The sequence below is a fragment of the Homo sapiens genome, chromosome 14, assembly GCF_000001405.40.
Source record: "Homo sapiens chromosome 14, GRCh38.p14 Primary Assembly".
Lineage (NCBI taxonomy): Eukaryota > Metazoa > Chordata > Mammalia > Primates > Hominidae > Homo > Homo sapiens.
The window spans coordinates 43745250-43758312 of NC_000014.9; the positions used below are offsets into that span (position 1 = coordinate 43745250).

Sequence of the window (13063 nt, forward strand, 5' to 3'; positions counted from 1 at the left end):
CAAACACAAATTTGAGCTTATTAGGAAATTATTTTCTTGAATAGAAAAATATAGTTTAACAAATAACAGACTAAAAAATTGAAATTTCTTTTAAATATATTTATCTTAAGGAAATAGGTTTTAAGATATTCTAATCAATAGGATGTCCTTATTCAACTTTCATCTTACTGTATAAACATAATGCTGTACTTACAATGATTGTAAGTACAACCATTTGACCTAATAACAAAATTCCCTGAATTATAGTGACCCTGCCTTACACTTAGAGAAAAATATATAAGGAATTCCTTTAAAAAATCTTGAGTTTTGTATTTATCTAAACTGAAATATAAAAGGTAATATAATTCCACAAATTATATCATTCAAAATACATTTCCCAAATGATATGATTTCTCTAGCTTAAATAGTATAATTTTCTAAACTTTAACTGGTAATATACTACTTATTTGGCTATGTGGGAAGGAAAGCATAATAGGTGGCCTGTGACTTCCATCTTCCCTATTGGAGAAGCCCAAAGAAATGATTGACATTGGCAGTGCCCAAGAGAATGGGTGATCTCCATTGAATCTTGTTATGTACAGTCTAATGGTGTTTATTAGTGGAAACCTATTAGGAAATCTTTACCTAAAACATTCTGTTTAACAAAGTATTCCTGAGCTGTCCAACTTGCTTAATGTGCGTAAACCTAGGATTCCTAAATTTGGGGTATGGCTGGTTGATGATGGATAGAAATTAGTCACACATTCCACTTCTGTGTGTGACCCACAGGGAGTAAAACTAATAAACCAAAATGTGACTTTGTCAATGTACATCATACATTGTTAAGCAGTTATCTGGTAATCTGAAACCAAAACACATTCCAAAACAGCAAAAGGGGTAATGGGGAAGCTGCATCTGACAGGTTCAGGACTCTCCCAGAAAGGAATACTATTTTTATCTATATGTCTTATAGACTTTGGATTATTTGTGAAGTTTGGTAAGATCTATGATTAGATCTGCTTTGGGTCAGCTTTTATAATTCAACTGTTTCCGATAATGAAGCACATATATTCCATAGTTTAAAGCCTCAAAAAGGATTAAGGTATAGCTAAAATGAGGCATCATCACCCCTTGCAGGTATCAGAAATTTTTGGAAATGATGTGCTTTTTGGAATTCTTGTTTTGAAAGCATTCTTCAATGACTTAGGGAAACATCGCATTAAGACATGTACACTGATTTTTCTATACATAAACAATAACATGTTTCAAAGTATTTTTCCACTAAACAAAAAAAAATGGCATTATTTTCTTTAAATAGGCACTGACAGACACAGTACATATATAATTTCCTGGAACTTGAATCGGTGATTAAAGCTAAGTCAGTTGCCTAGTGTCTAGGGTTAGAACAGCAACTTCATAATGAAATTCTCTGTTCTGTTTTTTATTAATATTATCTGATGTTTCTTACACCTCTTTTACTTTGCCTCTTATTTTCATTTGCACTTCAATATTTTTGATTCTTCTACTCATAAGAAAGCTGTAGATTAAATCATTCATCTGTAAGAAATTTGCCTTAATTTCTTTCTATTTTTTTACTTCTCTCAGATTATATATACTACTGAACCTATATAATTTATAATGCATTTATAATATATATTATTTATAATATACACACATTATACATATATACATTTTTGGATGCATTTCAGAGGAAATTGAAGACACTGGAGTATTAGAGTAGTTAGTTTAAGCTGGAAAAATTACTAAAACTTTCTTTGTCTCTCTGAACTTTAACTTTATTTATTTATTTAATTTCAAATTCTCCCAGATGTTGATGCACTTTAACATTTTAGAAGAGTATATAGGCTGGTTATTTTGGAGATCCTTCAATTTAGGCTTGTGAGATGATTCCTTATAATTGATTCAGTTTATAAATATTCAGCTGGACTATCACAAAAATAATGATATGTCTTTCTTGGTGCATCGTATCAATAGCCTAAGGATGTTAGGTTGCCCCAGTATTGGTGATGTTAACTTTGATCACTGAGTTACGGTACTGTCCACCAGATTTCTCCATTTTAAAATTATTATTTTTTCTTTTTGTAATGAACAAGCAATTTGCAAGGAGATACTTTGAGACTAGGTAAATATCTGCTTCCTCATCAAACTTTTAAATACTACTCTTAGCAACCAATGATAATTTTCTGACTTCACCATTCCTTCAACATTTATTAGTTGACATTCATAAAAAAAGCTTTCCTTTCTTTTGCATTTACTTAATTATGTGTTTTTATTCTTTTACTTATATAATCAATGTGAGTTCAGGTAGAGAGTTATTATTGTAAACATCATTATGTCTTTTAATGTTTTAATTGCTCCACATTTGAGTTGCTTGTAAATTTTAAGCTGTAAATGTACCTTAAATGAATCAAATAAGAACTAAAGTTAATTAGTATAATTGTTGTCACTCTTAATCATGACAAGGATCTTATTTTCCTTTAACTATACATGTTTTTCAAGTATATTATAGATATTTAGAATTATAGTTCTCTTCTGTTAGCAAACACAGAAACTTTATTATTATTATTACTAATTATTATTATTACCATCATTAGATAATGATTTACCTAAGTGAGTTATCAGTTTTTTGGCCCACTGTTTGTTTCTTGTCATGCTGTACTTTCTCTCTAGATTTCTTTTATTTGGGGATTGGGCTTCTAGTGTACTTATCATTTAAGTGTTGATAATACCGAAATCTGTTCTGTAAAACTTCACTTATGTTTATCACAGCACTATTCACAAAAGCAAAAGTATGGAATCAACCTAAGTGTCCATCAGTGGATAACTGGATAAGGAAAATGTGGTATATATATACACAATGGAATACTACTCAGCCAGAAAAAAAAAATGAAATTATGTCTTGTGCAGCATGGAACTAGAGATCATCATCTTAGATGAAACAACTCAAAACAAGAAAGACAAATACTATATGTCCTCATTTATAAGTAGAAGCTAAATACTGTTTACATATTAAAGTGTGGAATGATAGGCATTGGATACTCAAAAGGGTGAGGGGTTGGGAGGATAGATGATTAAAAATTACATAATGGGTATAATGTACTTTATTTGAGTGACAGATTTATGTCACTCATGGCTCCCCTTTTCAGTAGAGCCATGTACAAAATTGCACTTGTATTTCTTAAATTTATACAAAAAAACCCCACAAAATTTCACTTAGTGATAAACTCTGAGTAATAAATGATCTTAGCCTTTTCTTTTTCCCCTCACCAAGGATATATAATTTTCCTAATCATAAAATTTAGAATAATAGACACTTTTATTCAGCATTTTAAGGTCTTTATTGTTCTATAATCTCTGTTGAAATGGTAAGAATTTTCATTATCACTCAAAATGTATTTCCTTTGTAGGCAATTTGTCTTTTATCTGGAAGCTTTCGAGATTTTATTTTTACTTTTGATGCTCTAGAGAATAAGTACGGTGTGATAGTGTGAAAGTAGGTTTATGTCTCCTACTTTGTATTCAGATCTTTTATTTTCTGTGTTTCCTCAGTTCTGAAAAATTATCAAGTATGTTTTCAAGCATTTGCTTTGCTCCATTCTCTCATTTCCTTCTGCTGCACTTTCCTTAGATTATTGTTGTGGATTCTCCATCTATCTTTTATCTTAACTGCTATTTCATTTTAAAGTCACTTTAGTTGTGCATTCAGAATCATTTACACGTTTTTAAATTATCTTAGTTACTCTCTTTACCTAGATGATTTTATACTATTTCATATTTATATCAATGACTGTATGTTAAGTTATTTATATCCACCTAAATATCATTTTTAAAATTCTGACTTACTTGATTTGATTATTTCTTTTATATTCTCATTTATCTCTGTAAACTATTCAAAATAGTTATTTTGAATTTACCATTAGAAATTTCCTCTTCTTAATTGTGGATTTTGCTAGTCAATTTCTTAGTGTTATATTTTTAGCATGCAGTTTGGAGTTTTTATTTTCAAGCTTATTTTGAGTAGGCTTGCAATCTCTTACTTTTCCTTCCTACTTTCTTTCCTTTTCATCTATCTATCTATCTATCTATCTATCTATCTATCTATCTATCTTCTATCATCTATCATCTATCTATCTATTACCTCCATCTCCCCTAACAATGCTTATCTCTCTCTACTTGTTTTGTAGTTACCTCAATACCTCTATCATCAGCCAATAAAACAAGTTCTTAGATAGATGGTACTGAGTGACTGTAAGATATTGGAATATGGCAGACCTGAAAGCATGTTTGGCTTAGGTCCTGGTAGCAAAACTATTTTTTGCCTCCCTTCTTCCCACTTTTCTCAGCCTCATTTCATCATGAGTTCGGGTTACATCTCATCCGTGGCTTCTCAGTCTCTAAACCTGGCTTTGGAATTCAGTTTCAATTTAAGTTATTTTGGCACATCCACCTAACAGCCCACTTCATGATTTTTGAACCCCTCAAACATGTGGCCTCACCCATGGTGGTCATGTTGTGAATCCATTTTGTTTCTGATGAATAAAGATGTTTTATCCAAGATCTCCAGTAACTTTTAGGCTATCTGTGTACATACAGTAAGAGGAGTTTTTGAATTGAGAACTCACTGTGCATTATTGATCCCTGAGTCCGCATTTGGTCTTCAGAAAATATCTTTCAGTTAGTTAGATATTGTGTACTGGGAAGACTGAAGTTCAGAAATCTTATGTCACCAGGTAATAAGTGGGGGATCTTCAATTTGAACTTGGCTAACTCAATTCTTTCTACGGTACCAAATTTATCTTCTTAAAAACAAAACAAATATATTTTTATTCCTTCTTTCAGAAATAAAACCACAGGGTGCTATTTTGTGTCAGAATTGAAACATTTTATCAAATGTCTCTTTTAAGGTTTCAGTTATCATATGGTCACCTACTAAATTCTGGGCACACCATGAAAGTCCTCCTGAAAATAAGTTCACTTTCATATTTAGTCTCAAGTGCTGTCTGACAACAGTACAAACCATGGACAGTGTAACAGCAAAATTTGATCCACATTTTAACACCAAAATCACACAGCAATTTACAAACCTAGGAAACATCGGAATTTTTAAAATATTTTGTTTTATCTTAACAAGAATATTGAGATGCTGGAAAGATAACAAATAGGTAAAAATATTTTAAAATAAAAGTATAGTCATAAATTTCTTTTCCCATGTAACAATGTAAACATTTCATTTTTAATTAACTTGGAAACAACTTTTTAGCGCATTATTGTGCAACCTAGTTCTCTTAACTCTTTATTACTTTATATCTTCACATATATACACATGCGCCTAATATTGTAAAGTATTTGATATGACTCATGCATAAACATTTCTTCTCTAGAAAAGAAAAACAATTCTACAACCAAAGGAAAGAGAAAACAGTATATTTGTTGATGGAAAGAGGGGTCCCAATCCAAACTTCAATAGAGGGTTCTTGGATCTCATGTAGGAAGGAATTCAGAGTGAGTTACAGAGTCCAATGAGAAGAGAGAGTTTATCAAAAGCTACTAGATACAGAATAGGGTGTTCTCAGAAAGCAAGAGGAAGAAAACGCTATCTTTGTTTTAAACTCTTCTCAAATAGTAGTCTTATCTATGTAAAAGCTAAGCCATGTCTACATGTTTGTGGGCTGTCTGACAAAATTTAGTACTTTGTTGATATGAAAGAAAGTTATCCGTAGCATTTTCATATATAAGTACATCAAAGCATAATTATAATTATCTTGAAAGTATATATTGTTGTGGGTATTGGGATTTCTTGACTTTCTGTTGTTACTGGAGTGTGTCCTTGCAGCTATCTTTAGGCTGTTTCCTCAGCCATAAACATCTATACCATGAGTCTTGACTGGCAAGGAATGTGCCTTGCTAGTTTTAAGATGGAGTTGATTTTAAACCGATGTCCCCCTAACCCTCATATCCTCCTGTTTTCTGTTTTCCTAACACCCGTATCTTATTTTTCCCTTGATACTCTTCTTATTAAAAAGTATTGTGTTCTCAGACAAAGATTAGTTATATATTTAAAATAAATATGGCTTCCTGCAATAAAACTTGTAAGTCAAAATACATTTTGTATATGTTATGTGTGTGTACAGAACATCTTGCAAGATTTGTTTTTCAAAACTGTTTTATTCTGTTTTATAGTAACTTTTGAAAACGTAGGAGGCCTGGAAACATTATTAATTTTCCCAAATGTCTAATGTATTCAGTATTTACTTATAGAAATAGAAGCTATAAAAACGAGCAGCAAAAAAACTTTTTTAATGAGGTACTCTTTCCTAGTCGTTTTCCTCCCAGGACACTAAACATTGAGCAGTGATTTTTCTCATCATGTAAATACTTTATATAGAGTAACTTTCCTGTCATCTCTGCCTTCTTTTATTAATAAAGATTGTATATTATCTTTGTATTGCATATTTATGTGTACTCAACAAATATTAGGCTAATAGCTGTTACTATGATGATGGTATAAATATTAACATCCTAAAAATTCTTAAAGGGAACTTATTTCCTTGACTTAGTTTTATTTATAATTATTTTAATTCATGTTTTACATGTATATATATATATATTTTTTTTTTTTTTTTCTTTTTGGTGCTGTCTCAGCTCACTGCAACCTGTGACTCCCTGGTTCAAGAGATTTTCCTGCCTCAGCCTCCCGAGTAGCTGGGCTTAAAGGCATGTGCCACCACGCCCAGCTAATTTTTGGATTTTTAATAGAGACAGGGTTTCACCATGTTGGCCAGGATGGTCTTGATCTCCTGACCTTGTGATCCGCCTGCCTGAGCTTCCCAAAGTGCTGGGATTACAGGTGTGAGACACTGCACCTGGCCTACGTGTGCAAATATACTTTAAAATAACATTATTCTTTTCAATTCAGAAACTTCAACTCAGAAAAAACAAACTCAAAATGGTTTAAAAGTAAGTTTATACCTCTCGTGGTGCATTAATTTGTTGACTCAATGATATAATACTTGGTCCAGATTCTTTCCATTTCTCTGTGCTGCCATCTATAGTGTATCAACTTTGATCCTTATAATAATTGCCCTATTGACAAGATAGCTGTGGCAGTTCCAGACACTGATACACACACGCACTTCTGTGTGTGTGTATATTTTTTTCTGCAATGACCTTTTCTTCATATATCACCATTACTCTCCACCCCAAGCATTCCTCCCTTCACATAGTTTTGGCTAAAACTAGGTCACTTATCCATCCCAATGCCCACCCCTCACAGAGGGAATGTGTGACCTGAAATTTTCAGGATCTAATACTGAGTCTGAGGGATGGACACTTCTAAAAATCAGGGCTTTCTTCACACAAAAGATGAGAAGGAAGGGTTGTGGTATAAATCACTAATAGTATTAAACTTGGGATGCCCACTGACTTTTCCAGACTTCAAGTATTATTATTATTATTAAAAATAAGTCTTTTCATTCAGTCTCAACCAACGCTCTACAGAAACTATAGGCCTTTGAGAAACACAATTTTATAGCCACTGGAATAAATAGCCCTTGAGGTCAATTTTAGCTATGGATCTTAGAATAACGGAAAAGAAAAAGTAGTGAGAGGAGCGAGAGATCAGATCATAAAAGTTAGAGAGCGGCATGAGTTTCCTGTGGCTACTATAACAAATAGCCACAAACTTTGCAACTTCAAACAACAGAAATCTCTTTTCCCACAGTTCTGGAAACTAGAAGCCAGAAAACAGTTTATGTTTGTTTGTTTGTTTGTGAGACAGAGTCTCACTCTGTCACCCAGGCTGGAGTTCAGTGGCATAATCAAGGCTCACCACAGCCTTGACCTCCCAGGAACAAGGGATCTTCCTGCCTTGCCCTCTTGAGTAGCTGCTACTACAGGTGTGTGCCACCATGCTTGGCTAATTTTTTTTTCTTTATTTTATTTTATTTTTTTTATAGTGACAGGGTCCCACTATATTGCCTAGGCTGGTCTTGAACCTCTGGGCTCAAATGATCCTTCTGCCCTGGCCTTCCAAAGGGCTGGAATTACAGATGTGAGCCACCTGAGCTGAAATCAAGTCAGCAGGGACAAGTTTCCTTCCCATGCTATTAAACAAACAAACAAACAAACAAACTATTCCTTCCCTCTTTCAGCTTCTGGTGGCTGCTAACATTCCTTGGCTTGTGCCCGCTGCCCCACCTCAATCCAACTTCTCTTCTGTAGTCACATGCCTTCTCTTCTTCTGTGGGTGTTCATCTTCCTCTGCCTCTTTCTTATAAGGTTACTTGTGATTACAGTTAAGACCCATGCAGATAATCCAAGATTATCTCTCCATGTCAAGATCCTTAACTATCACATCTGCAAAGACCCCTTTTACTTTTAAGGTAACATTTACAGGTTCTAGGGATTAAGACCTAGTATCTTCAGGTGGCCCATATTCACCCTACTACCTGGACATGGAGTAGGACTCAAAGAGTCATGGAAACACATATAAAAAGGATAAAACCTTAGACAAGTTAAGTTTAGCATAGTTTCATTAAGATAAAAAGTGATTCACAAATCGAGCAGCCCTCAGAACTGGAGTTCCAAGAACTCTGGGGCTGCAACACAGTCAGACAACATTTATGAACAGAAAACAGAAGTGACATATAGAGACGGCTTACCTGGTCACAGCTCAGCATTTTCCCATATTTGAATCAGCTGGCTGCCTATGAGTGACTGTAAGGCTGGTACTCAGCTATTTCTTAGGAAAGTATTCCCCTAAATTAGGCTTTCAGTTAGTTTACATACTAAAAACGGTTGTAGTTTGTTACATAAAGACTCAAATGTGGAGGCATGCTTGGGACAAAACTTAATTCAAATTAACACATGTAATTATAAAATTATTTCTTGGATGCAAGAAAGAAAAACAAATGGAGATTAAACAATCCCAAGACTTCACTATTCATTGATAGCCCTTGTATCTTACAGAAATACGTTTAGAGTAAAAGAATCTCCATCAACAAGGCTGCCAGTCAATTTATGCTGCTTCTTCAGATCAGTTCTCAATTCTGTGCTATTAGATTTTAATGGAGACAATTGGATAGAAAAGAATATCAATAAATGAAGTTTTCTTGTGTTACAAGAAATAAAATACCTAATTTATTTTATCTTACATTTATAAAAACGTCTTTAATGTCATGCACATTGAATATGTATAAATATAAATATATATAAAATAACAGGAAAATTTAAATCAAAACACAACTTGGGTTTCACCTCCTACAGTTCTTTCTAACATATTTAATGCTATAATCTGCCCTGACCCTGGGTGTACACTATTACAGGACAATTACTTTCCTGATATAATTTACAAATATTAAAAAGCCCCTTTAATAACAAAAAATAGGCCTCAAGATAGTAATTAGCATATCCAATTGCATGTATGTTTACATCTCGATGTTATGAATTGATTTAAAATTAACTCTTCTTTCTTCTTATCTGGCCTCTTTAGCTTGGCACATCTGAAGTGGGAAAGGGATTGGGGCAGATTTGCTTTCTTGTGCTCCTCTTTCCCTAGCCAATAATCCTGAACTCACTTTAGTTGTTTTACTTTCAGCCAGGCTATGAGGGTATGCAGAGTACAAATAGGTGAGCAGGAGGACAGTACCTTTTTGGCTAGGTAGCCTAGAATGCTCCACGTTTAATGGTTGGCGAAAGCTGGGGTTCCTAATGAGTCTGCATAGGATTATGCTAATTGTAATTCTTTAGTGATTCTTGCCTAAAACCTCTCCCCAGCAGCCTCCTTATGAGAATGCCTGCCTTTTTATTCTAATGCGTAACTTCTTTCTCCTTTGTCATTCACTGCATGTTTGGTGCAATACATCCATTCTCTTTGGCTAAGGTTGACTCACCCTAACAGAAATTCCCATTCAAAAGGGTTCACAGAAACCCCACAATGGGCAAAAGATCCACTGGAAACATTTACCAATCCAACAAACTCTGGAAGCTCTCTGGTCTCTTTTCTAAGGCACTGGGCCCTGTGGCATTGTGTTTCCACCCCAGAATTCTTGAAGGAATGGGTTAAGGTGACACAATTCAGACCCACATCCACAATTCCACTGTAACTTTTTAAGATGTGGCTCAGGAATGAGTCCTTGTACTATACTGCAACAAATATACTTACATATTCTAAATATTTCCAAGCCCTGATCAGTAGGGTAACGGGCTTATAGAATTATTTAACAAAATCTCCCCTTGCCAAATTTTCATCTGTCTTATATTCTTGAGGGAGGTGCTATAACTTAGGAGTGGTGTAACATTTTCTCTAAAAAGTTCTGTATGCAGATTGGTCTCACTATCATTTTGGTATCTAATTGTGTCTCACTGACATTTCAATAGACACTGAGGAAGAATAAGTCCCTTTTAATGTCCTGTGATAGAGATTTAAAATACAGGAAACTGGCATATTTTTGCATATAATGGGAATGTTTGGAAGTGCTATATTTTAATGGATTGTATAACGCAAATTGAAAAAAAAGACTTCTTCGGATCTTATATTTTACTTTTATAAAGAAAGAATATCATATTCAGATTAAACAGACAGGCATCATCACATTACAGTTACTCCACAGAGAGGAAATTAAAGCCTCCGCATTTCAAGTAAAAGGCGCACTACAGCTTTTCAAACACCTAATTTCTCTCAGTGGTGTGGGAGATATAATGACAGGTAGCACTTCCGTGACTTAAGTGACTCATATATCATCTGCTTTTAAACAGCATAAACTGCTTTGCAGTTTTTAATTTTCCAATCGTCACAGAAGTGTAAGAACAGAAGAATCATGTACATAAAATCATCATACTTTTCAGTTTTTACTTTATATCTTCCAAAGCAATGACAGTTTATGACTTTAATATTATAGGGCTACATTTAATAGTTTTTATATTCTTTATAATTATTCTCTGGTTAGGTAAAAATATCTAAAAATATTTAAGTTTTTTGTATGGTAATTTATACCATTTGACCATATAAAATAAATAGAACGTGATTTGCTTACTTAAAAAAAAGAAGAAAGAAAGAAAATAAATGTGTAAGAAAAAATAGTACCAGCTAATAAAAATTAGTGACTTTATGATTTGATGATGAAATTGCCAAAGCAATTGCAACTAAAGCAAAAATTGACAAATGGGCTGTAATTGAACTAAAGAGCTTCTGCACAGCAAAAGAAACTGTAATCAGAGTGAACAGACAACCTACAGAGTGGGAGATAATTTTAGCAATCTATCCATCTGATAAAGGTCTAATATCCAGAATCTACAAGGAACTCAAACAAATTTACAAGAAAAAAAACATTAAAAAGTGGGCAAAAGTCATGAACCGACACTCCTCAAAAGAAGACATTCATGCAGCCAACAAATATATGAAAAAAAGCTCAACATCACTGATCATTAAAGAAATGCAAATCAAAACCACAATGAGATACCATCTCACACCAGTCAGAATGGTGATTATTAGAAAGTCAAGAAACAACAGATGCTGGCGAGGTTGCAGAGAAACAGGAACGCTTTTACAATGTTGGTGGTAATATAAATTACCTCAACCATTGTGGGAGACGGTGTGGCAATTTCTGGTATTTATAGAACCAGAAATACCATTTAACCCAGCAATTCCATTACTGGGTATATGCTCAAAGAAATATAAATCATTCTATTACCAAGATACATGCATACATATGTTCACTGCAGCACTAGTCACAATAGCAAAGACATGGAATCAACCCAAATGCCCATCAAGGATAGACTGGATAAAGCAAATGTGGTACATATACACCTTGGAATACTATGTAGCCATAAAAAGAAATGAGATCATGCCTTTTGCAGAGACATGGGTGAAGCTGGAAGCCACTATCCTCAGCAAACTAATGCAGCAACAGAAAACCAAATACTGCATGTTCTCACTTATAAGTGGGAGCTGAACAAGGAGAACACATGGACACAGGGAGGGGAACAACACACACTGGGGCCTGTCGGGGGGTTGGATGGAAGGAGGAAGAGCATTAGGAAAAATAGCTAATGCCTGCTGGGCTTAATACCTAAGTGATTTGTTGATAGGTGCAGCAAACCATCACAGCACACTTTTACCTATGTAACAAACCTGCACATCCTGCATATGTATCCCAGAACTAAAAATAAAAATTAAAAGAAAAAATAGTGACTTTATTATTTTTAACATTCATGTTACTTCCGATACAGGAGAATCTCTAATATTGTAGACTTAAAAAAATGTAATTTGTCTATGATACCATCAGATACAATCTAAAAATATAAGATAATGTCTCTAATACAAATAGCCAATTTTAATAATTGAATGACAGTGACAATACATTTGCATAGTATATTTTTCTCATTCTACAGATTTTACTGTCATTAAATTTAAAGGTCTTGATTTTTATAGTAATTTAATTTCTATGACAACTAACCACTTTTTTCTAATTTTTGTTTTGGGAATGAAGTAATTATGATTAATTTCTTCATTTTGGATGTTCAAATATTTTATATTTTCTGCTGCAAATTCTTTTCTCAATTTTTAAAATTCAATACAAATACGAATATATAAAAATGTATCAAATACTGCACACTAATTCTGGTATGGGGACATTAATATATACTAGGTTGTACCACATAAAGTGCCATTTTTGTAGGTTAAATAAAGTAATAAAATATTAGTAATGTCAAATGGTTCAATCTAATATAAAACAGTATAATGTTTGCCTCTATTCAATTTTATTTAATTATTATTTACTATGCATTTTCTTTCTAGAAAGCATTGTACTACAAATTGTGGAGTAAAACTAAGTTTCTAATTCAAATAGTACAAGGTAACAGATAAATGACTAACAATTCAAGGCAGAATGAAGTGCTGCAGAGATGCATAATTAACAAGGTGTGAAATACCCAAATAAAGGGAAGTCTTTAATTGTGGCTGCAAGGAGACTGAACAATTAAGAATGGTTATCAAGTGAAATAACATTTGAAAGTAGAAAGGAATGAAAAGTATTTCCAAAGGTGAAAATGAGAGAAGTGAATT

General features: G+C 33.4%; 1 annotated feature.

Annotated features, from left to right (window-relative positions):
* Positions 9503-10082: an enhancer, noted in NCBI's record as "OCT4-NANOG hESC enhancer chr14:44223955-44224534 (GRCh37/hg19 assembly coordinates)". NCBI's record gives its function as "activates a minimal SCP1, AML or CMV promoter by ChIP-STARR-seq in naive H9 embryonic stem cells {active_cell/tissue: H9 hESC(naive)}" and the evidence as "EXISTENCE:reporter gene assay evidence [ECO:0000049][PMID:30033119]".